The sequence below is a fragment of the Homo sapiens genome, chromosome 3, assembly GCF_000001405.40.
Source record: "Homo sapiens chromosome 3, GRCh38.p14 Primary Assembly".
In the NCBI taxonomy this organism is placed as follows: domain Eukaryota; kingdom Metazoa; phylum Chordata; class Mammalia; order Primates; family Hominidae; genus Homo; species Homo sapiens.
In genome coordinates this window covers 53,980,122-54,006,190 of record NC_000003.12, presented here as the reverse complement: position 1 = coordinate 54,006,190, position 26,069 = coordinate 53,980,122, and the positions used below count along the sequence as shown (strand labels likewise).

At 42.4% G+C, this 26,069-nt stretch overlaps 1 long non-coding RNA gene across 2 annotated transcripts in view, besides 1 other annotated feature; it reads left to right on the top strand.

The window, feature by feature from the left end:
- The window catches only part of LOC105377095 (uncharacterized), a 48,956-nt gene extending 29,030 nt beyond the window's left edge, over positions 1-19,926 (top strand). Inside the window, exons 5-6 of one of the 2 annotated variants that reach the window (XR_940848.3) lie at positions 18,453-18,579; positions 19,817-19,926. This is a non-coding gene — a long non-coding RNA (uncharacterized LOC105377095). Of the gene's footprint in view, positions 1-16,435; positions 16,652-18,452; positions 18,580-19,816 lie in introns of those variants that run through there. The other variant, XR_940850.3, reaches the window with a different exon arrangement.
- Positions 25,057-25,635: an enhancer, noted in NCBI's record as "NANOG hESC enhancer chr3:54014583-54015161 (GRCh37/hg19 assembly coordinates)". NCBI's record gives its function as "activates a minimal SCP1, AML or CMV promoter by ChIP-STARR-seq in naive H9 embryonic stem cells {active_cell/tissue: H9 hESC(naive)}" and the evidence as "EXISTENCE:reporter gene assay evidence [ECO:0000049][PMID:30033119]".

Genomic DNA, 26,069 nt, shown 5'->3' with positions numbered 1-26,069 from the left:
AAATAGAGGGGTGTTTAGAAAAGCAGCAGCAGCAAAGATTTGTCTAGCACAGGTTTGCAAAAGGACCTACATCTCCACTCAAGAAAGACTGCCTTTTATGCAATTAAAATGAATCCTCCATCTGTCTAAAAACCACTTACATAAAGCGCCCCCTTCTCCCCCGCCTCCACAGGTTCCTCATCTGTGGGCCAGGCCATGCTTTTTGGCCAGCATACCCCAGGCCAACGGCGAATGTGTGCATAGCCGTGTTCTTCCCAGAGCTAACTGCTAAGGAGAGAAGCCCCTTAGCGGATAGGTTGCTTTAAACATACTTAGGAGCAATCCTTATGTGGGTAGCACGCTTCCCCCACACCCATTAGCATACAGTTCCATCTGCACCCCCCCATGAGCTGCTTGGAAGTATGATAAAGTCTGAAAATATTACATATGTGTGTCTTTACACACACTCACCCAGAGCATGTCTCTGGGCAGAATGAATGAAGAGGTGACTTTCCTGGAAAGGACTCAAATCCTCCCTCTCGCTACCTACACAGAGACACACACTCATTTGTCCCTTTCAAAGATGAGAATACTGAGAGGTTGTTTACCAAGATGGACTTTCAGACTCCACAATAATGTTGGTGGCCTGTTTGCCACCCACATCCCAGAGGCTCAAAGTAGCAAAGCAAACTGGCCAGCAGGGGCAGAAGGGCACGTGTCTCTCACAGGGAGCAGCAGAGATGCCATCCCCAGCTTCTGATGGTCCACCTCTAGGTTGACCTCAGGCTCCCACAATCCTCTAGCTTCTCTGCTCTTCTGTCTGTGAGAGGCCACAGACAAGGGTGTGAGTGACAGTGGAGCTACCAACAGCCCGGGCCTGGGCATCAGGCAGATGTGAACTCAGTCCTGGCGCTGCCACTTATGAGCTATTTGACCTCCAGAGAGCTCACTTAATCTCTCCAAACCTCATTTGCAAAGCAGGGATGACGATGCCTACCTAATGGTTCGTTTGTGGGCATTAAGTGAGGTGATGTATGCAGGAAGCTTCATTCAGGAAGTACACGCCACAAATGGCAGCTCTCGCAGCATTTGGCAGGCTTTGTTGTTAGCTGCTTCATTATCTCTTACTAGAATGTAAGTGCTTTGAAGGCAGGGTTGACAGCACGTTAACTGCTATACTCTGATGGATAAACATAGTGCCAGGTACAAGTAGGCACTCAATAAATATTTGTTGAATTAATAATTAATTATAGAGCTGAGCCCATAGTACTTGTGTTGATTAATTTTGTGCATCAACTTGGCTGGGCCACGGTGCCCAGATATTTGATCAAACATTATTCTGGATGTTTGTGTGAGGGTGTTGGATGAAATTAACATTTAAATAGGTCAATTTTGAGTAAAGCAGATTGCCCTCCATAATATGAGTGGGCCTCATCCAATCAGTTAAAGGTCTATTAATAATGAAGATTGACCTCTACTGAGCAAAAAGGAATTCCGCCAGGAATTCTGCCTTTGAACTTGAATTGCAACTCTTCCATAGTCGCCTGCTGGCCTGCCCCATGGGATTTTGGACCCACCAATCACATGAGCCAATTTCTTAAAATAAATTTCTCATATAGATATACACCCTGTTGATTCTGTTTCCCTGGAGAACCGTGACTAATACAGTATCTAATCTTCAAATGAAGAAACCAACCAAAGGGGTATCCATTTACTTCCCTTAGCCTGGAAACGTGGTTAATATCAGTTTCACAGCAATTTTGTAAGCTTAAACAACCATGAATCATACCCGTCTAATCAAATTCTCTTATTTGATCCTCACACACACTTGATGGCTAGAGATCAGGAGACCTTTTCCAAGAGAAGGGAAAAGTGGGGCTCAAAGAGTTCAGTTAACTTTCCCAAGCCCACACAGTATAATAGATTACAAAAATGACCCCAATTCTTCACTCCTCCATGTTTCCAAGCTCTTTCTCATGTAATGTGTACATCCACTTCAACTCTGGGTTTGGCCATGTGACTTGCTTTGGTCACTGAGATGTTAGCAAATGTGCTGCAAACAGGCTTAAAAAGTATTTATGTGGCTGGGCCTATATTCACTTGAGAGCATGCTCAGGCTAGCCTGCTGGAGGATGAGCTATGTAGCCCAGAGTCCAGACACCCCATCACCCCCAGATATGTGAGGAAGCTCACTCAAGATCAACAGAGCTGCCTAGACACCCCTGAAGTGTGAATAACAAATGCTGTGTATGCCATGGAGGTGCTGGTGAGTTTTATTCCACAGCATCATGTTCACAATAGATAACCGATACACAGAACTAATGCATCTCCTAACCAAGCCTGTTTAACTCCACAGTCAGGGCTCTTCCCCAATACAACAGAGAGTCTTGGGTGTCCCCTGAAGGCAGGTCTCCTGATTGGGATGAAACTTATAAAAAGTTGAGAAAGCTTCCTCTACAGTTTAGCCATGAGAAGAAAGCAGCCTGCCTGCTGGTCACTGGGCTACCCAATAAATAGGCTAAGCACAGGTGCCAGGCATATCCTAGAAAAGCAGGGGCAGCAACACAAAAATGAGAAACTTTTTTAAAAACTTGGTATTTCAAAAAATAAGCACTGAAGTAGTCATCATAACTTTTTTAGAATCCCTTATGCTATTTTATGGTTTAGGTTTTTTTTTTTTTATGAGAGTTACATCTTGGGAGGTGGGTGTGTCCCCAGGATCTGTTGCAGGTGGAGGGCCTCTAAAGGGCCCATGTGCCCTGCTGCTCCACAGGGTTGCTGCCTGGGGGAGTCCTGAGGGCCGCATTTAGCCCCGGTAGCCGCTGGAGGGCATGCAGGGGGCAGCAGATGAAGCAGCTTGGGGGTGGTGGGGGACACCCAAGTAAGAGGAGCTGGGCTTCTGCAATCTGTTTCTAACCACTCCTGCCTATGAATCATCCACATCCACACTCCCTCACAACCCGCATATTACATAAATAATGTACAAAAAGAGCAAAATCGAGCCACCACCACGGATGAGCTCGACCTTGAATTATCATGGAGGAGTTAAAAGATAGGCGTGCTTTAGAGAGTCGTGGGGACCTCTCCTGAAGGGCGAGTTTTGCTTGGCTTCTCTATATCACTAATAGCTTTTAAAACATCAGTCACCTTCAAGGCCCAAGTCCATAGGAAACTGTCTTCGATGTCAGTTTCTCACCCAGCCCAGTTAAATCTCTTAAAAGGAAAACAAAAGTGGTTTGCATGCCAAGAAGTAAAAGGAGCACAGAGCAATCCCAGAGGACTTGAAATGCTGGTGAAATTCAACTTACGGTGAGAGTGGGTATAGGAAGGGGATAGTCATTAATTAAATGAGCAAAATTGTAAGTAGCAGACTCTTGTAAAATCACGAGATGAGAATCTTTATGTATTTCCTTTCTGAACAGTCAAAGGCATGCAAAGATGTTACTGCCAGGTTGAGCTGAACAGTGGCCTACAGAAAGTTCCCCAGTCATTCCCAGACTCTAATTTGCTTCCTGGAGATCAGCTGTGGAAATGAGCAAGAGCAATCGCCAATTCCCAGATTAATTAGCAGGAGGGAAAAGAGGAGGAACAGGAAGGAAAGGAAGGGAAGGAGGTGGGGAGGAGAAATCCTTACTGAGCACTTACTTTGTGCCAAGCATTATCTTATTCAATCTTTCCAACAACTCTATGAAGAAGTCATTATTATTATTCCCATTATATAGATGAGAAAACTCAGAGAGCTTCCATTTCTTAGTCAAGACCACTCAGCCAGTGTGTGCCAGAGCTGGGTTTGGAGCCCAGGTTCTCTAACTTAAATCCCGCGGGATAACTCATGGGTCTATGCTGACTCCTAGCAAACAGCTTAGTTACCTTGACACATATTTACATGTTTCCCATTTTGAGTTATGCCTCTAGAGTGGCAAATCACTTTATTCTGTCTCAACATAGGAAAAGGTTTATTCTCAAAGCACAACATTTATTTTTGAAGTAAACTTTATTTAACTGAGTCTTCTTTAGCATGCCTTAAATGAATACCATATGAATTTATTTCGGAAGAAGAGGCCTCCTTCTTCACCTTGGAAACGCTGTTAACTTATATGATCCTTCCTTCATTCACTCATCTTCTATTCATTCATTCATTCAATAAATATTTATTGAGCACCTGCTAAGTGCCAGGCACTGTGCTGATTCCTAGGACTTAGCAGATGAGGTCTCTGGCCTAAAAGGGCTCACAGACTATATCTGGAGTTCTACAGGACAAGTCATTCCAGAACTTGCAATCTATTTACATGTCAAAAACAGATTCACAGCACAAGAAGATAATAAATAGATTCTCTAGATCTGAGATTTTAATAACTGAATGTAGCTGTTCTAAATGACCAAGCGATTATCAGACCTCCAACCAAGTTACCCACACTCAAAAAAATTAAAAATTAAAAAATAGCATTGTGCTCACAAATCACTCCTTCCTTATTTGATTCTACCAGTACAGCATGCTCCTAAAATAAAACAAAAAGAGTCAAATATATCAGCTTTCCAAAACTGGACCAAAGCCAGCACACTGGGCTTCTGCTGTAGCATAACCAAGACCCTTTCTGTAAACCTATAAATAAATTTCAGCAGATGCTTGGACTCAGAGGGTCTAAATGGAAAACCAACCCACTGGTCCTCAGAATCATGTGTGCACTCTCCCTTCCTGACTCCTCTCCAGCTTTAAGAAAGCTATGCTGGCCGGGCGCGGTGGCTCACGCCTGTAATCCCAGCACTTTGGGAGGCTGAGGCGGGCAGATCACGAGGTCAGGAGATCGAGACCATCCTGGCTAACACAGTGAAACCCCGTCTCTACTAAAAATACAAAAAATTAGACTGGCGAGGTGGCAGGCGCCTGTAGTCCCAGCTATTCAGGAGGCTGAGGCAGGAGAATGGCGTGAACCCCGGGGGGCAGAGCCTGCAGTGAGCCGAGATCGCGCCAATGCACTCCAGCCTGGGTGACAGTGAGACTCCGTCTCAAAAAAAAGAAAGAAAGAAAGAAAGAAAGCTATGCTTTGAGAAGCTACTCATGCAGAAAATGGTATTTCCAAACTGATGCGTTACTCCAGCACCTATGAGGATAGGTAACCCATAGAGAAGTGAGTAATCTCTGTGTCCTGGTTCCATAAGGACTCTGCTATTCTGAAGTTCCCAGGGCCACTCAACAGGCCCCTTTCAAGGACCTGTGATGAGCTCCATGCTGAGCTGCTCCACCTGTGCCACCAACCACTCAGAATGCCAAATTACAAACTGTGAATGCCAACCTCACTCTCCTGCAGGACTCTAGTGGACATTGAGCCATCGTTTCCAGCTCTGTCTCTGCAACATTACAGGGAAGACCACACATTCAAAAGGTGGCACAGAATTTTCAAAACCAATTAATTTTACTCATTCAATTTGAAAAGGTAAGGAGCCAGCAGCACTTTTAGGAGCCCAAAGACAGCCTAAAGTGAGAGTGCTAAACAACCATAATAATTAGAATAAACCAGAACATAAGCTTCTCAAGGGCAGGAACTTTCTCCATCGTGTTCTTTGCTGAAGCTGCAATGCCTGAACGTTTTGGTGCTTAATCCATGCCTACTGAGTTAATAAATGGATGATTCTAACGGAGTGTTCCCCCACATCTTCTGTGCTAAACACTTCTTCTTCGTTCTCTCATTTAAAACCCTTAACTAAGAATCAGAGATCTGTATCAAGCCCAGTCTGCCATGAGGAAACTGACATTCAGAACATGCACATCACTTCTTCAGGGTCATGTAGCTGTAGGGCAGAACCAGGTTTTGTGGGGCTTAAAACTTATACAATTTCAAGATGCCTGCTTTAAGGAAAAGAATATAAAACTACAAGTACAAATTTAGATATGTAAGTGATTATTTACAGTGGGGAAAGAAATTGCAACAAATTACAAATGTAAAAGTATTACAAATATCATAAAATCTGGAAAAATGACAGTGATAACAGTGATTTTCATCATCTACCTGACATATATCTATCATATTTTTTCTTACATTTGTTGGCTGCGTACTTTTTCTACAAAGAAAACAGAATAAGAATTTCTTTCCCATAGTGTGATTGATCAAATTTTGTCTTTATTATTTTCAGCTTCGTGACTCATTACAGATGACAGTAGATAAATCCTTAGGGTTGTTGTCAAATTTGGGGAAAGCTCTATCAAGTTTCTTTCATATCTGAGCTGCAAGATTTCAGGGCATTTCAAGCTTACCTGTCAATGATGAACCTTAAATCAATATTGCTGAGTTGACAACATTCATTAAGCTGTTTGTTGTGAACAGACCTCCTCATTATAATGACTTAATATGAATTTCATGTTACCTTTGTCTTGCGTCAAATAAGCAAGAAATTTGTTTTTTCCCAGTGTGTTCATGTGATTCACTCCTCATCACTAGCTGGATTATTAAAACTCCAGGAGCGTCTTCATCATTTTTAGTCACTATTTTCTCTGGCTGCAAATGAATGGATAAAATTTACCTTTCTGTTAATGATTGAGTGAGTTTGATATGATCTGAAAAGTGTTTGTTCGAAGCCTCCTCGGTGTCTAGCGATTTTATTGCTCACCTCCGTCATTTCTATTTCATGTTTCTATCTTTATATGAATTTTCTGTCAGTTCTTTAATAAGTTTAAAGGTGACCATTTAAAATGTACCATTCACCTATGTTCAAATCAGAAGCTGTAATGTTTTCACTTGTTTTATTGACACATTTCAGAATGACTTTCCGAATTGCAGTTAGAGCCACATATTCCCCACTCAACTGCTCCCTAGCCAGATCCTCAAAATGCCTTTGGGCATTCCAGTGCCACCCTACACAAGGCAGAGAGAGACCAAGAAGAAGTCAGAGTAGAAAGAGAGAGTAGTCACAATTCCCCGACTGCATTGGTCACAGGGCTAGGGTCCCTCCCAGAGCCTTGGAAGGAGCCTATGAAGGGAGAAACCCTGGAGTTTAATTGTCATCAGCTTCATGGGAAACTGGCCTCTCCCACAGCTAGTGTGTGACAGGGCCCTACTCCAAAACTGGTCTGGCTCCAGGCCCTGAGCAGCTGACCTGTGCTTTATATGCTCCCTGTCTAAGGAATTGACAAAACAAATGTGCAACTTCAAAAAAGTTAGGTATCTCTTCTGCAGCAATGGTCTTCCATGAAATGCCAATGAAATGCCCGTAATTCTTTATGTAAAGTCATGTACAAAATAAAATTTTCACAGACTGTTTGGGTCCAAAAGGGCTAAGCTAAAAACCAAGTTGAAGGGTCCTCAGACAAATTCAAATTCATCTAATACCAAAATAAATACAGAAAGGAAATAGGGACCATCTCTGCATCCCCTTGTGCTCCTATTTCCGGAAGTGCATCAGAAAGGTCCCGCTGGTCAACGAAGGCCACAGCCGAACCTTCCTTCTCCAAAGTGGTTCCAGCCTCTAAGCACCAGCAGACCCCTGCCACCAAGCTCATCCCCTGAGATCCATGATCCCCAGCCCTCTGGGAATTGCAAACCTTTGACTCAGTGCTGGAACTGGAGACACATCTGTTCCCCTCCCACAAGGGCACAGTGGGATGACCCTCCACCCCTTTCAAGGGTGTGTGTGTGTGTGTGTGTGTGTGTGTGTGTGTGTGCGTGTCTTTAAATCTTACATATGCCTCCAGGAACAGTAAACAAATATAATGAACTAAGAAAACCATTTCATGGATAAAATATCCATCTTTTCCTCCTACAAATTATTGAAGATATAGATGAGCCTGTATTCTCCATCTCAGAATCATCAAACCATGCAGTCTGTGTGAAAATTCTTATTATAAAATTATTTTAAAACTCTGTTTTAAAAATCATATTCTTAAAATAAGAATTCCACCTACTCATGCCACTGGGGAATTCACTGTTGATAAAGCATATGCAAGTATGTGTCTACTCCCAGTAAATTCACAACTGAGCAGGGGAGTGAAGATATGGACACAAATACCAATAACATCATGTAGTAAGTGAGGAATGGCCAAAGAATAAACCTGACATAGAACTACGGGGTTCAGATGGAACATGTTTTTAAAAAGGAAATACTAGGAGTTGAAAGACATTTAAAGAACTATCAATCTTCTAAATCAGAAATGTATTAAAAACAAAAACCAAATGAAATGAATACAAGAGAACTTGAAAATAGCCTGAAAACTAGAAAGGAAAAGGAAAGATGACAAAGCATCATCTTTTTTCCCCTCATCTGCGGGTGATTTTTACACAAGAATCAATATTGTATTTATTCCGTGTAATCGTGCTTCACTAATCAGAGATCCTGTTCTACCATCCTCTCGATTATCTTGTTTTCCTGCTTCATTTGCTTTCTGCTTCCAAACTCTGGCAGTATTATCCTACAACATTATCGCAAAGTAAATTTTAACTGAATTTGCAATTTGAAATCATTGATTTTTTTTTTCAAGTTTAAACAAACAGAAGTAACTGCCAGATATTTCATAAGGAAAGTCTTCTGAAAGGGAGTGTCAGATTGTTTCGTGGAATTCCAGTCTGGAAGGAGAGATGCTAAAGATAGGAAATGAAATGTTTAAGTGGATGTGAAGAATGAACACCAAGCAGAGGGATATGCATTAGGAAATTGTCCCATAGCTGGAGGAATTTGAGAGGACCCTCTTTTATAGTCAGTGGAAAGAGAACTTTTTCATGACACACTTTGCAAAGCCGTTCACATGCAACCCTCCTTGGCAGTAACTTGTTCTTAAGTTGTTTAAGTGGGAAGGCGGAAAGCAGATTAGGGAGCAAAAGATATTTTAAGGAACCAAAGAAAAGTTTAACTCTGATGGGAAGAGGGCACCCTACCCTGGCAGGGTGGGTTGGGCACCAAGATCTACAATGATAAGAGAAGCACCAACATCAGTGTGAGAAATTGGAGTTGGTGCCAGTGGAAAAGGAGACGGTGGAATCTTAACAGCAACATCAAACAGTGTAGAAGGCAGGGGAACTGCAGTGAGAAAGACAGAGCAGCCCTGGAAGGGCAGGCAGGAAACTTTAGTGACACTCGGAGAGAATTTAAGAGCCCCGGGAAGGGGAGGGAAGGGCAGGGAAGGGCAGAGCTTGAGGGTATTGGATTCCAAAGATGACAGTGGCTGAGACTCAAAGCCAGAGACTGCTACCATTGCCACTGTCCCCCACATTTATTGGTTGCTCTTCCCTGAGTTGAGAAAGGAAGAGAATTCCAAATAGCCCCCGCTTCCGCAGGCACTCTGCAAGTGATATTAATAGGACCCCAAATTCACTGGCTCTTGTTCCACTGAAAGTCCTATCCAGTCACTGCTGAGGGACGCTGGGGTGGCTTACTTGCATCACAAACAGCCCTCTGATGCTCTTTTACTCAGGCCCCTAGTTGATGTCACCTCTCTACAAAGTCCAGTGAGGACTGGGACTCATCCCTAGCCCTGGCAACCTCCATGGGAATGCTGTGGCCACACCTGGGGCGTTGGCTACAGACATTCCTAGGGAGCTACTCTTCTGGGTAGCAAGGCAGGGCTAGGTTCCCTGGAGTCTCTGCTGCAACAGTGCAGCTCTCTGAGGCACTCCTCTGTCCAGCTCTGCTGCCCTGAGTCTTCTAGGCCCTGGGGCACTGCCTGCGCTGCCACAGGCCACAGTCCTGATGAAAACTACTGTTCAGCTTGGGCTTGTAGCCCTCTCCAAGGGACTCAGATGAATTCCAAGGACCTGCTGTGAGGGCTCACAGTTGAAGCATACGACATGGTATTTTCCTGTTGCCCCCTGTCTGCATGTCTTCCTGGGTGCACAACTTCCTCTTGGAGCAAGGCTCACTTCCTCATGTAAATTACCTCCTGCAGAGAGACACAGGCCAGACATTGCCACCACTAACTCATCAGACACACCCTGAATTGTCAGAATCCTATCCACAGGCCCAGCCCGGGACTTCCAGTTCTCAGTTAACAACCATCAACGTTAACTGAGGGGAGAGTGTTTCAGAGACCCCTCTCTGAAATGCAGCGTGAAGTTGAACTCTGGACTGTTTCTAAGAGCTGTTTACTTTCCATATCCCAAAGCTAGAGGGGCTAGGGACAGAGAGTCTTAGTCCATCTGGGCTGCTATATCAAATGTCATAGACTGGTTGGCTTATAAACAACAGAAATTTATTTCTCACAGGTCTAGACACTGGGAAGTCCAAGATCAAGGTACCAGCAGATTTCGTGAGGGGGCCACTTTCTGGTTTGTATCATAGATGACACCTTGTTGCTGTGTCTTCCCATGGTGGAAGGGGCAAGGCATCTCTGAGGCCTCTTTTGGACGAGCACTAATCCTATTCCTGAGGGCTCTACTTTCATAACCTTGTCACCCCAAGGGCCCTACCTGTTAGTACCATCACACTGGAAATTAGGTTTCAAGTTACAAATTTTGAGGAGACACCAACATTCCAACCATAGCAGAGGGCTTAGAGTCAAGATGAACTCAACAAACTAAACTCCTTGGGCATTCCAAAAAGATAAAGAAGCCAGTGCAAATTTTGCCAATGCCAAAATAATTTTTGTTCATTCTAAATTTGTTGATAAATTTTGGGGTCAAATCTCTGTTTCCCAGCATGTGCCACAACCTACCCACTTGACACACAAACGTGCATTATATGAACTTACTGGAGAGTAAACAAAAGCGCTAGATCAGTGAATTCCAGAGATGAAATTATTAAAGTTATGTGGCTTGTAAACTCATGGAACCTGCCAGGCCCAGATGAATAATTGGTAATTGATGTTTATAAACAATATCCTCCACAGCTGAGGGAACATGGCTGGCACGTGGTGAGTCGCCTGCTCCTAGCAGGTCTCACTTCCATGCTCCCTCCATGCTCATCTCTTCAGTAAGAGCCCTGTGAAAGGTTTTCCTGAGTCCCACGGCTATTGAACAGCCCATCTGCTTGAAAGCCGAAGGGGATGTTGGGGCCTGAGCCACTCACCACGTGTTCCTGTTCCACTCGGTATCACCCAGATTCTGTTGATGCTTGTCAAAATCTTAATTCACAGGAACACCCTGTACCAGATTCTTTGGAGTTCTCAGAGATCTGGGATGGAGAGTGAGCTCTGCTGCCAAGACCTCAGAAATAGCACAGACTGAAATCTGCCAGCTTGAGGCTTAAAGAAGTCAGATCACCTTTTGCAAGACAAATTAGCACATAGCAAATGAAAATCGCTAATGTTCCTATTCAGCTGGCATATTATTCCCTTGGATATAAAATGGCTCTTCTCCAGGCCACAACTAATGATCATCTTGACCTCTAATGCTCAAGCTTGTGAGCGACTAACCATGTCGGGTCATCAGCTCTGAAGGACTTGGAGGGCAGGCTGGGGAGCCTGGAGCAGCCACCCTGGTTTCAGCTCGACCACTGACTGCACTATTTTACCCAAGTCCTTTCTTTCTTTCTCCAGGCCTGAGTTTCACCAGGTCCAGCACAAGCATAAATGAAAACTCCTCATCCTTCCCTCTGCAAGGATCTTAAGATGCTATACAGTCTAAGACAGCTGAACAAATTCTAGGTTCTTAAAAAGCAAGAGAAGGAATCGAACGATGTGGGGCTGCTTGCTGGCTCCAGGACTTGTAGCTATATGGCTGTGTAGGTAGTACCTATTAGCCAAGCTCCCCCATGCCCCTTCTCCTCACATTAACTGAAATATTTCAGTTTAAACAAAATCTATCAAAGGTTTTGGAGTTTATTTTGAGGGTGGAGAGAGGGTATTCTAGAACGTGTAACACTGGCCTCCATGCTGAAGGGCAGGAGCAGAGATGGCCAAGGGGGCACTGTCCTATATAGTACCCTAATATTTGAACATGTAACTACCAAACAGAAAAAATAGGGGGTGATTATTTGCATTGTAAAGGGATTCTTAGCACAAAAGAAACTATCAGACACCATACACTTAAACTCTTGTTTCTGGGCAGATTGGAGAAACATCTGCTGGTTGCCTCCATCTCCATGAGCTAATTATGGTGCTAGGTGCTTTCATGGTTATTATTTCCTTTAATCCTGCAAATCAACAAGACAAACTGAGGCCCATCCAGGTCATGTAGGTGACCTAAAGTCCCATAAGTAATACATGTTGGTAGGGTTTAGCTCAGGTTGTTTCACCTCAAGACTCATGTTTGTCTCACGATTCCACATTGCTCTACAAAGACAGGGAAGCTCGATTTGAATTAATAAATATTTTGGAGTCTGGTTTGTGAAAAATCTCCCTAAAGTTAGACATAATGTAAATTAAAGGAAAACAGGATTCTAGGCTTTGTGCAGCATCTCACATCTGTAGTTTCAATGCTTTGGGAGGCCAAGGCAGGAGGATTGCTTGAGGCCAGGAGTTTGAGACTAGCCTGGTCAACACAGCAAGACCTCATCTCTACGAAAAATAAATAAAATAATAAAAAGATAATAAGGATAACAAGAAAATAGAATTCTAGAAAAACAAATACTTCCTTTCCATACCAATTGTCAGAAACCTGTTGCAGAAAATGATGCTCACCTGTCCTGTTTTATTGTTGAAACATGCTGATTTTATCCCCTCAGATAATCAGCACAAAGCTTTGTGTTATGAGAAAAGAAGGGAGATTACTTCTTCAACAAACTGCCTGTTTTACTATGGCTGGCTCTCAACACTAAGACTTTAATTCCAAAGGCAACATAGAACTTTTAAATTTTCACCTAGAAAATAAAAATATATATATTTTTCTTTTAAGTGTTAGCATTTACACCAAAGGGAAAGCCTTGAAAGGAAAAGACAGATTTGAGTGCATAAAGTTTAAAATTTTTGCATGACAAAAACACTGTAGAAAAGAAAGTGTGAACTTGAAAAAATATTAGAACAGGGCAGGTGCAGTGGCTCACGCCTGTAATCCCAGCACTTTGGGAGGCCGAGATGGGCAGATCACGAGGTCAGGAGATTGAGACCATCCTGGCTAACACGGTGAAACGCCATCTCTACTAAAAATACAAAAAGAATTAGCCAGGCGTGGTGGCGGACACCTGTAGTCCCAGCTACTCGGGAGGCTGAGGCAGGAGAATGGCGTGAACCCAGGAGGCAGAGCTTGCAGTGAGCTGAGATTGTGCCATTGCACTCTAGCCTGGGTGACTGAGCAAGAATCCGTCTCAAAAAAAAAAAAAAAAAATTAGAACATATGGCGGTCATCAGGTAAATATAAAATATAGGCCAGGTGCAGGGGCTCACACCTGTAATCCCAGCACTTTGGGAGGCCGAGCGGATGGATCACTTGAGGTCTGTTATCCCAGCTACTCAGGAGGCTGAGGCAGGAGAATCGGTTGAGCCTAGGAGGTGGGGGTTGCAGTGAGTTGAGACTGCGTCACTGCATTCCAGCCTGGGCGACAGAGTGAGACTTTTCAAAAAAAGGAATTAAAAAAAAAAGTATATATATACATATAAATTATTTTTAAAACGTACCCCAATAGAAAAATGGGAAAGGACCTCAACAGACAACTAGTGAGTATTCAAAGAAACACAAATTAATATTTTTTTAACTTATCAGACTGGTTAATAAGGCAACAGAGCAAAAGGGAATGGTAAGAATATAGTATAACTGACACCTTCGTACACTACTGAATAACATGAATTGGCACAACATTTCAGAGTGGCAAAATGTATTTTTCAAGTTTATAGGTCTACTATGTTTGAACTGTTTTCAATAAGCATACATTGCTTTTTCAATAGCAAAAAAATAGATAATATTTTAGGTGTTCTCACCCTTGACCTGGCACAATTTACTGCCTCAGCATAAATGATAAGGAAATAATCATGAATGTGTAAAAAGATTTAGCTAGAAGAGATACATGATAGCATTGATTATAAGGGGAAAGATTGGTGTGGCAGAAACCACTAGTTGCTACACAATAGCCATTTTTTTTTTTTTCCTTAGCAAAAGAACTCTTTTGACATCCCTTTTACCCTCCTTTGCAGCTGAGTTTGGCCAACTATAGGTAAGCAGAAGTGTTGCATGGGACTTCCAGGGAAGCTACTTAAAAGCAGCTGATTTGGCTGGGGAGGAACGCTTTGGACCCTTTATTACGTTCTCCTCTGCATTATCTGGAACTTGGATGTGATGTCCAGCTCTTTTTGAGCCAAGAAGTGACCCTGGGGATTGAAGCTGCCATGATTTGTTTAGTCCCTGGCAAAACTCATGTTGAAATTTGATCCCCAATGTGGCAGTGTTGGGAGGTGCAGCGTAGTGGGAGATGTCTGGGTCTTGAGAGTGGATCCATCGTGAATAGATTAATGCCCTCCCTCAGTGGTGGGCAAGTTCTCACTCTCATGGGAATAAATTCATTCTCAAGAGAGTATGTTGTTATGAAGAGCCTGGCTTCCTTGGTTTCTCTCTCTTGATTCCTTTCTCACCATGTGATCTGTTTACACACATCCACTCCTCTTCCACTTTCTGCCATGAGTTGAAACAGCTTGAGGACCTCACCAGATGCACCTGTCCAGACTTGAACCTGCCAGCCACCAGAATCACCAGTGAAATAAACCTCTTTTCTTTATAAACCACCCAACCTAAGATATACTGTTACAGCAAGACAAAGTAAACTAAAACAGAAGCTATCCCGAAAAATGATAGAACAAAAAGGTAGAAGAATCCTCAGTCCTTGATGGCTGCCATAGCAACCCTAGACTGCCCACCTCTGGGCTATCTTATGTTCAAGGGAAATAAATATTCATCTTGTTTAAGCCTATTCTTTGGAGTTTTCTATGAATAAAGCTGAACCTAATTCTAGCTGATGAGTCATCAGGTCAACAATCTAAAAGTTAAACAGTGGAGGCCAGCCTGGCCAACATGGCAAAACACAATCCCAAATTACTAAAAACACAAAAATTAGCCAGGCATGGTGGCACATGCCTATAATCCCAACTACTCGGGAGGCTGAGGCATGAGAATTGCCTCAACCTGGGAGGTGGAGGTTGCAGTGAGCTGAGACTGGGCCACTACACCACAGCCTGGATGACAGAGTGGGATGCTGTCTCAAAAAATATAAGAAGGCCGGGTGCGGTGGCTCACGCCTGTAATCCCAGCACTTTGGCTGAGGTGGGTGGATCACCTGAGGTCAGAAGTTCTAGACCAGCCTTCAACGTGGTGAAACCCCCTCTCTACTAAAAATACAAAAATTAGCTGGGTGTGGTGGTAGGCGCCTGTAACCCCAGCTATGTGGGAGGCTGAGGCAAGAGAATTGCTTGAACCCGGGAGGCAGAGGTTGCCGTGAGCCAAGATTGTGCCATTGCACTCCAGCCTGGGCTACAAGAGCAAAACTTCTTCTCAAAAAAATAAATAAATAAAAATAAAAAATGAAATAAAATGAAAAGTCAAACAATTGCAAAACTAGTTAAATATTATAAATTATTTGGAATCCAGATGGTAAGTCCTAAGCAGCCATTTAACATATTATATGGAATGATGTTCACAATATATTGGTATTTGATAAAGGCAAGTTTTAAAACTATATACCATATGATCCCATTTTTACAAAAAAAAAAGAAAATTGATATTCACGCATTGAAATAAGTCTGAAGAGTTCTATGCCAAAATATAACAACAATTATCTGTGAATGGTTGTACTCTCATGATTAGTCTGCTTTCTCATACAAAGCATCTAATTAATTTCAGCAAGTATGATGCATGTGATATGTGTGAGACACTAAGTGCCACCTGAAAACCCATTTACTTCCAGTTCCACAGGAAATTAAGAAAAGGAAAATTTAGCCACTATTCAAGGCAGTACTTTCCCATGACACACAGGTGACAGGAAGGGCTAAGGCTTACTTTTAGAGGCGTGTTCGCTCTTGCAGTTCATGGGGGAACCACTAAATAAATTAAAGCTAAGCTCCACCAAATAGTTTCTTTAAAGACCCGAGGGTTAAATACAAACTCGCATTATTTTTCAGTGGCCAGATGTGTCTCAAGCAAAGGAAGTAGCCTGCAGCGATGCTTCCAAATGTTCAAAGGACAAGTTTCCAGGTCTACAGCTGTGCTTTATTAGGGGGCTGCAGCCAAAGCCCGTAAGAATTTGGCATAGCTTATTTGAGAAAATATTCACGTGTGTTGAAAGCAGATTCAATATACATCGGGTGGGAGAGTTGATCATCTGCTCTACGGAGCACAGAAATCAAACAGTCTACTACATGTATTTAAATGTCTTCTGTGGGTCTCTTGAAACTTGGTAGATATCTTCCAATTCTTTTAACACAGAACTCCACTTCCTGATACACGAGGCAATGGATGACTCTACTCAGCTGAAGGGAATTGTCTGAGAGCCCTGTAATTAGCATGTCACCTCAGCAATGCCATAATTAAAGGCCTCTAAAGAGGCTTCTATTACAAGCCTCCTATTTTCAAGGCTTATGAGTTTTTGCTCTAATATCTCTTCTTTTCCCAAATAGGAACCATGAACTGGCAGCAAGAACACATCACTGCTCCTCTGTAATGTGCTCAAATCATTTTTCAGTCATGTGAAAATCAACAAGAAAAGACCGTTGGGGTTTCAAACAGCTTTATGCTCCCATCTGGAGTCCAAAAAAGGCTCATTTAACTTAACACAGCCACGTTTTTCAAACACCTGGTTCCTCAATGGCATTCCGTTGAAAAAAATTCTTCCAAAACAAGAGCAAAATCTCAGTTATTGTTTAAGCAGTCGTCAATGTGTGTGAGGAGTCATACTCTCTGTGTGTTTAAACCTTCCTGGTGTGGGCTTTCAAACTAACAAGAATAATAACTTACTACCACTACTAATGTCTCCACCACCAGCACCATATAGTGAGTGCTTATATTTTGTGCTCAGTACTGGCTAGACAATTTGTGCCCTACAGCAACTTAGTGAACTAGGCATCATCATCTCCATTTTTAAAACGAGAAAACAGATTAAGAGATGCTAAGTTACTTGCCCAATTTATACAGGTGGTAGGAGTCACATCCAGGTGTGTTTGACTCTTTGCATCATGCCAGGCTTTTAAATAAATTGTGGTAAAATATATACAACACAAAGCTCACCGTTTCAACCATTTTTAAGTGTACAATCTAGTGGCATTGGCCTTCACAACACTGTGTAACCATTACCACTATCTATTCCCAAAAGTTTTTCATCATCCAAGACAGAAACTTCCCCATTTCCCCTCCCCCAACCCCTGGTAACCTCTATTCTAGTTTGTATCTCTATGAATATGCCTGTTCTAGGTACCTCATATAAGTGAAATCATGCAGTATTTGTCTTTTTGTGTCTGGATTGTTTCACTGAGCATAATGTTTGCAAAGTTCATCCATGTGGTAGCATAATCAGAACTTCTTTTTTATGGCTATAATATTCCATTGCATATATATGTCACACTTTGTTTATCCATTCATCAGTTGATAGACGCTTGAGTTGTTTCCACCTTTGGCCACTGTGAATAATGCTGCAGTGAACATTGGTGTACAAGTATCTGAGTCCCTGTTTTGAATTCTTTGGGGTATATACCTAGGAGAGAAATTGGTGCATCATATGGTAATTCTGTTTAACTTTTATGGAACCCAGACTTTCTCCATATATAAAGTATGGTCCCAATTTCATGCAGATATAAATACAGACCTCTCTCTTTCTCTCTCTGTCTTTCTCACACACAAACACACTCACACACACACACACACACACACACACACACCAGTCTCTTGTTGATTCAGAGCAAAAAGAGAATGAATCAGACAGACCTGGGTTTAAACCCTGGCTATATCATTTAAATAGTGGCGGGCAAGTCACTTCACCTCTCTGAGTTTTTGTTTCCTCATATGTAAGATGGAAATAATAAAATCTGCCATGAGAATGTGAAGATTTGAGTTCAAATGGGCAAAATCACTACTAGCACATGCCTGGCCAGAATGGGCAATGGATCAATAGTAACTACTTTCCTCAGTTTTAGGAAACAGAAGGAGATGCCTGTATTTTTGATGTGTAAAACGTAATGCCTCCTTGGGTCCAATTCCCAGGTGATGAGCAAAAGCAAAGCCACATCAGGACAAGTCTGGGGACTTTAGAGGCCTCTGGGAGAGGAGACCCATAGCCCACCGGTCTCTGCCCAGGGCTTGATGAGTGGAAGACACACACTCAGACCATCATTAGCTCTCCCTTGTGCCTCTTCTACGGCCAAGGGACTATAAATCAATAAACAGGTTATCCAATAAAGCTCCCTGAATGCACATGGCTCAAAGCACTAAACAATTAAATTCAATTTGCCTGGAACACAAGGACATGCTACATCTCCCAGATAAGAATAAAAGCCCTTCAATACAGAAATTACTTTTTAATATATCTTGTGGGTCCAAGTTGGTTGGAGTCAGTGGAGCCACTGATATCTTGAGCAACATAAACGCAGTAAGTGGAATCCATGGATCCAAGGATCCCTCTTCTCTTTCCTTCTCTCCCTCCAGTCCCAACCAAGGTCCAGAGCAGCTTCCTATTCTGAGTCTGTTGCCCTTGAAGAGATGAACGGCCAGCATCCAAAAGCAGTGATAAATTGCACCCAGAGGGCACTTCAAGAAATGTGACTTGATGAGGGTGATTAACTCTTCTGATCGATTTTGCTTTGGGCTCATATGCATATAATAGTTTTTTATTCCATTTAATAATGATAAGGCTGCTTAACACCATTGACTTGTTCCTCAAAGTCAATTTTGTAATTTTGATCTTGCTTTGTCAGTGTCTTTTGAATTTCCTGGAAGAGACGCTGCTATAGATGGGTCTTCACTTTCTTTTTCTTTTCTTTTTTTTTTTTTTTTTTTTTTTTTTGAGATGGAGTCTCGCTCTTTCTCCCAGGCTAGAGTGCAGTGGTGCGATCTTAGCTCGCTGCAACCTCTGCCTCCTGGGTTCAAGCAATTCTCCTGCCTCAACCTCCTGAGTAGCTGGGACTACAGGCACACGCCACCACGCCTGGCTAATTTTTGTATTTTTAGTAGAGGTGGATTTTCACCATATTGGCCAGGATGGTCTCAATCTCCTGACTTTGTGATCTACCCGCCTCAGCCTCCCAAAGTGTTGGGATTACAGGCGTGAGCCGCCGTGCCCAGACGAGTCTTCACTTTCTTTTGGTAAAACATGAATGCATATTGAGAGATGAAAAATATACTTGGGGCCAGGCACGGTGGCTCATGCCTGTAATCCCAGCACTTTGGGAGGCTGAGGCAGGCAGATCACCTGAGGTCGGGAGTTCGAGACCAGCCTGACCAACATGGAGAAACCCTGTCTCTACTGAAAGTACAAAAAATTAGCCGGGTGTGGTGGCACATGCCTGTAATCCCAGCTACTTGGGAGGCTGAGGCAGGAGAATCACTTGAACCTGGGAGGCAGAGGTTGCAGTGAGCCAAGAACGTGCCATTGCATACCCCAGCCTGGGCAACAAGAACAAAACTCTGTCTCAAAAAAAAAAAAAAAAAAGAAAGAAAGAAAGAAAAGAAAAATATACTTGAGATATAAAATTGACTCAATCCAAGAATATCCAATTCACTACACTAACTACAGCCACAGAGAGGAACCATCTTTGAAGAGTGCAATTCTCACCTGAAATCTAAAAGGTTTTTTGTTGTTGTTTACATTTGAAATTATAGCACTAATCAGACACTCTGATTGTTAATTGCTTCAGTAACTTCCTTCATACTCAGAATCCCTATCTTGCCTGCTCCTCATCAGTGGGGCCAAGACAGGGATGCAGGCATGCTAACAGAAGCTAGATCCCCATATTTTGGGTACCATAACAAGGTTCATTGCATCACGTTTTGTCTTCTTTGCTTTCCACTAGGTCTAAAGATGAAGGCTGACATTTAGAGCTTGTGAATACAACTTCCACCTCCATCTGTAAGCAGAAAATAGTTCATTAAATAAAAGTCTGTCGGTAGTACAGCTTGAAAATAAAGTCTGGTGTTTTATTTGGCCCTGAAGTTTTTTAAAATGATAATGAGCTGGTTCATGAGCACCCTCATTATGTTAATCCAGATTCCTTCAGGAGCAACTAGGATAAAAGCTGAAGCTGATAGAACCTATTGGTGGATGAACGGGAGTCCCTGCCCTCACATGTCTGAAACGTATGTTCGTGTGACCGAAATGCTTTGTTCCTAATCTTCTGAGCTGTTCCTTCATTAGACATGTAAAGCTTGCCCTGTCTTAATTTGGCTGGAAACAGCATGCAGAGTGTTTGTATTTTAGGAAGGGCAATGAGCACCCACAAAAGTGACTGAAATGTTATTGCTGGGCTTCTTAGAAAAGTTACAGAGCTGCCGCCTGTGTCTGTGTATTAGTTCATTCTTACATTGCTATAAAGAAATACTTGAGACTGGGTAAGTTATCTTAAAAAGAGGTGTGTTTGGCTCATGGTTCTGCAGGCTATACAGGAAGCATGGCAGCACCTACTTCTGGGGAGGCCTCAGGGAGCTTTGACTCATGGTGGAAGGCAAAGTGGGAGCAGGCATCTTACATGGCAGGCGCAGGCCCAAGAGAGAGAAAGGGGAGGTGCCACACGCTTTTAAATGACCAGAAGTCACGAAAACCCACTCACTATCACCAGAACAGTACCAAGCTGGAAATCCGGCCCCACGATCTAATCGCCTCCTACGAGGACCATGCTCCAACACTGGGGATTACAATTCGACATGAGATTTGGTGGGGGACACAGACCCAAACCATATTAGTCTGCTTAGGGCATTATTACATGGTGATCGCTCTCATGCTAGATGCACCAGGCAGCTGGTAAGCATGAAGAAGAGGACTGGAGCATTTCCAGCACCTCGATCGTAATGTCCCTACCCAAATAGGCTTTTAAGTACAATGCCAAGTAAATATTGTTATTCTGGCAGGCATTGAACACTGAAGTTCTATAAAAAATACAACATTTTGGGCTGGGTGCAGTGGCTCACGCCTGTAATCCTAGCACTTTGGGAGACCAAGGCAGGCAGATCACGAGGTCAGGAGATCGAGACCATCCTGGCTAACATGGTGAAACCCCGTCTCTACTAAAAATACAAAAAATTAGCCAGGCGTGGTGGCGGGTGCCTGTAGTCCCAGCTACTTGGGAGGCTGAGGCAGAAGAATGGCGTGAACCCAGGAGGTAGAGCTTGCAGTGAGCCTTGGCACCACTGCACTCCAGCCTGGGCGACAGAGAGAGACTCTGTCTCAAAAAAAAAAAAAAAAAAAAAAAAAAAAAAAAAAAAAAATATATATATATATATATATATATATATATATATATATATATATATAACATTTTCAAGTTCCGCAATTTGAGAATTTTATTCTGCAAGTAGGTGAAACCAAACTAATATGTGAGGCCTTTTCATTCATACATTCATTCAGTAAATAATATTTCACTTCAAAAATTATAAACACTTAAGATGTAGCAGGCACCATACTGGGTTCTAAGAATAAAACAATAAGAAGGTCACATCCACTAGCTACAGAGCAATTACAGTTTTGTGGGTGGGAAAGATAAGTAAACACCTACAATAGTCACAAGCACTGTGACAGAGGGGTGTACACACAGAAGGTAATGAGTCTCAGAAGATGCACTAACCCAGCGTGTGAACTGAGAGACAGAAGCGGAGGTAGGGAAAGGCCAAAAAAGGCTTCCAGAATTGGGTGAAAGCTACACTGAATCTTGAGGGAAGAGCAGGCTTGGCTCTGCACTCTGCAGGGCTGGCAGAGGAAAACTTGAGAGAGAAGGATATAAGCAGGACCTCAAGTCCTGTGGGCCACAGTGGGTGGCGCACAAGGCCAGAGATACAGGAAGATGCCTTGACACCTTGCTAGGGACTTGGCCTTCATCATGAAGACTCAGGACATTCACTGACAAGATCAGCATTTTGGAGAGAGTATCTTGACCATTCTGGGGAGAATAGCTAAAACTAAAATCTAAGTTTCTGGGCAGCCAAACTATTAATAGATGCCATAAAGTCTATGCAATAATGTTTATCCATTACACCTTAGGAGAGCTCCTGGGGAGTCTTACTTCAGTCTAACTTGCATGGCAATGCAATTTTCTAGTCCATAGACTATTTTTGATAGAGAAGAGGAGGAAAGGTCAAGCCTCCCGCAGGAGTGGCAATAATAGCTACCACATATGGAACAGCGATGGTGTATTCACTACACGATCCTTTAGTGCTCACAACAATCACATGGGGTAGGTATTATTATTCTCCCCATCAGAGAGATGAACAAACTGAATTTCTGAGAGGTGAAGTAATTTGTCCAAGGTCAAACAGCTGGCAAGGGACATCAGTGGGGCTGGAATCCAACAGCTACAACCTCAACTATTATGTTACCTGGTTGAAGGGAATGTACAGTTGGCAATCTGAGAACAATAGGAAGCAGACACCAGGTACTGGGGGACGACGGCAGACTGACATCTAATTTTGTTCCCTCCTGAAACTCCACTAAAATTACTATAAAAAGGCGTAAATCCACTAGGGTGGGAGAGGAGGCAATCATGCATAATTTTGGTAGCTACAAGGACAGATGACTTAGCCTGGAAAATGCTAATTTCTAAGTCAGCAGAGGGGAAAGCAGAGAACCAAATCCATTGACTCAGAGGACCCTTACATAAGAGACCAATCCAGCAGGTCAACTTATAGACAATAGTACTTCCAGGAAGAGAACATGAAAGACTGAGAATGAAGAAAATTATTTAAGAACATTTCTGAGAATTAAAAGTTCCCAGAATAAAGGATGAAAAAGAAATCTACATGATGTGAAATATAGAATACCAATGTTCATGGAAAAACCTTGTAAGATTCCAAAAATAAAGATAAGTTCTGGAACCAGAATGGTCTTAGACTTCTCAACAGCAACACTGGAAGCCAGAAGACAATCAAACATTCTGAAGAAAAGTTAGTTCCAACCAAGAATTCTATATTCAGGCAAATAAGCAGACAAGAGAGTAAAATAAAAATATTTTCTTTTTTTGACATTCAAAACATTTATTTTCCACATACACTTTTCTAGGAAGCCACTGGAGGATGTGCCCATGCATAAGAAGGGTTAACTTGTGAATGAGGAAGGCACAGGATCGAGGAACCAGAATAAGAAAGCAAAGAGAAGCCCAAGGCTGAAGGAAAAGGAGAATCTGACCCATGAAACAGACATGCACTTGGTTTATTGAAGGCAACCAATCCATATTGTCACATCAAAAGGCTCCAGAGAGGCTTCCTCAAAAAGCCAAAACCGAGAGAACACCCAGTGTGTTTAGATGCATTGAAAGAAGACTTGAACAGTGCTACACCAAGTGTGGCCAGACAACTGGTGCTGTGAACAGTTTGTTCTAGAAGTATATTTTTATTGTATTTTATAAAAGTATCTGCCTGTAACAAAGTAGCAATTTTAAAAACTAGTTCTTTATCACAGATAGTCTGAGAAGCACTGATTTAGACAATTGGTTGAATCAGAACTAAATACACAGAACATCAAAGCAAATTGAAAAAATAATCTAACAAACAAAACAATTATTAACTTGAGAAAAAAACCCAAAAAATTACGCAGAAAAAAAAGTAATTAGAGTTTTATACATGGCTGATCTCTCACTAGTATATAGAGTCATAATAATGTAAACACTGGATATTGATTTAATTAAAAAGATAAACTGGGGGGCCTGGCTTGGTGACTCACGCCTGTAATCCCAGCACTTTGGGAAGCTGAGGCGGGCGAATTACGAGGTCAGGAGTTTGAGACCACCTGGCCAACATGGTGAAACCCGTCTCTACTAAAAAATACAACAACAACAACAAATTAGCTGGGTGTGGTGGCAGGTGCCTGTAATCTCAGCTACTCAGGAGGCTGAGGCAGGAGAATTGCTTGAACCCTGGAGGTGGAGGTTGCAGTGAACCGAGATTGCGCCCCTGCACTCCAGCTCGTGCAACAGTACGAGACTCCGTCTCAAAAAAAAAAAAAGATAAATTATCTTGGGAGGATGGGAAGTGAGTGCATGGTAGGGATGGGATAAGGCAAGAGTTAAATTCTCATCTTCCATAGTGGGATTCAATAGATAGAGTCTAAAAGAGGAAAGTAAAAAAGTAGCAATACAACCATGGGATTTAAGATATGGAAGGTAATTTTTAATCAGCTAAAAATATATATATATAAGTGGTTCATCCCAGCACTTTGGGAGGCCGAGACGAGTGGATCACGACGTCAGGAGATCGAGACCATCCTGGCTAACATGGTGAAACCCCGTCTGTACTAAAAAATACAAAACATTAGCCGGGCGGGCGTGGTGGCAGGCGCCTGTAGTCCCAGCTACTCTGGAGGCTGAGGCAGGAGAATGGCGTGAACCCAGGAGGCGGAGCTTGCAGTGAGCCGAGATCGTGCCACTGCACTCCAGTCTGGGCGACAGAGCGAGACTGTCTCAAAAAAAAAAAAAAGTGGTTCCCTGTAGGGGAAGGGAAATAGGTGCAAGGCAGCCTGGGACTTGTTTTTTTTAACAAACCCACAAGATCTGGTTGTCTCTTTGAACTATGCGCCTGGATAACTCCAACAAAAATCAAAATCTGTAGACTGGGGCTAAGTAGTGTTGAAGCAAACAATTCTACATCTACTTCAATAGGAATAAGATTACCTAGCCCTAAAAGTTGTTAAAGACTACCGCATACCACAATGTAATAATCAATGCCCATAAGGGAACGTTATGTTCCAGATCATCTGTTTCAGAGGGCAGTGAAGTGTACAGCACATTTCAGAAATTTCTTTCTCCAAAATGGTTAAAGAAAAAAGAAAAGATTTTGTTCAAGGGGTAAATCCTCAGTCAACCAGAAAACATCTCTAACCAAACCAAATCTTTCCATCAGGGTTCCAGGTAGTATACAGAAAGCTAACCTTGAAGATCAGGTTACTGTTCTGAATAAAGGGTTTTAATAACAGAAGGTCTAGTGATTCATCTTGATAACTTTGAATAATTCTTGAAAAAAAATATATATATATTCACTGTGAGACATGGATTCTTAGAGATAAACTCCTGGGGGATGTTTAATTAATCCTGTATTGCACCATAGAAGCAAAAGTTCCCTTTTACACTCCCTTAAATGATGTCCATCTACTGTTTCGTACAGATTGTTAAAATATTATTAATCTATCCTAAGCTTACCAAGGTTTACAGATGGCATTATACCCTAATCCATATTATTATAATTAGGTGTTGTTAAGCATCCAACTGCATTCCAGCCACTGAAACAAGGACAGAGACAGCCTTTGCCCTGAGGGACTCCTCTTTAAATAGATAGCGGGGGTAATTCAAAGGGAAAAGAAAGAACACAGCAACTAACAAAGGCATCATCATTTTTATGTTGTTTCTTTGGAAAAGGTAAGGAGATTTTAAATGCTGAAGAGGACATGTAACAACATGAAAGAGCTTTGAAGTCCATCTAATCCATGAGTGTTGGGGGTGAGAGGAGGAAGGAATGAACCCGGAGAAAGCGTATGTAAATATTCCCTGCATTTTCCCAGGGAGAGGGTGCTTGGTGTTCATCAAATTATCAGAGAAGCTTGTGCAACTTTGCTTAATCCAACCCTCTCATTTGACAGTTTTATGCATTTTAGAGTTAACAGAACTCAGGCTTTAGGCAGATGTTCTTATTTACAAGAGAGGGAAGCCCACAGAGCACACAGGATTTATCCCAAGGGCAACTAGAAAGTCAGTGGCAAAGCTGGGAAAGGTTCCCTGACTCCCAATCCTTGGTCACTTGACCCCATTGCCTCTAGTAGGTTGTATCTGTCTGTTTACAAATTACCATTTGTTTGGCTAATTAAATCAGTTTCATGTAAGTACTTAGTTTTCAATAAATGATCAGTGATTTTTATGTAAAACACATTTCTACCCAGTTGTCTAATGCAGAAATCTGGGCAGCTTCTCTGACTCTTTCTTCTTCCCTCAACATCCTCTTCTCCAGCATCTAATCAGTCACTAAATCTTATTTGATCCCTGCCCTAAGAAGCTCTGGGGTCATCTCCACCCCCACATCCAGGTGACCACCACATCTGCCTCTGACTATAACAGCCTCCTAACCTGACTCCTTAGA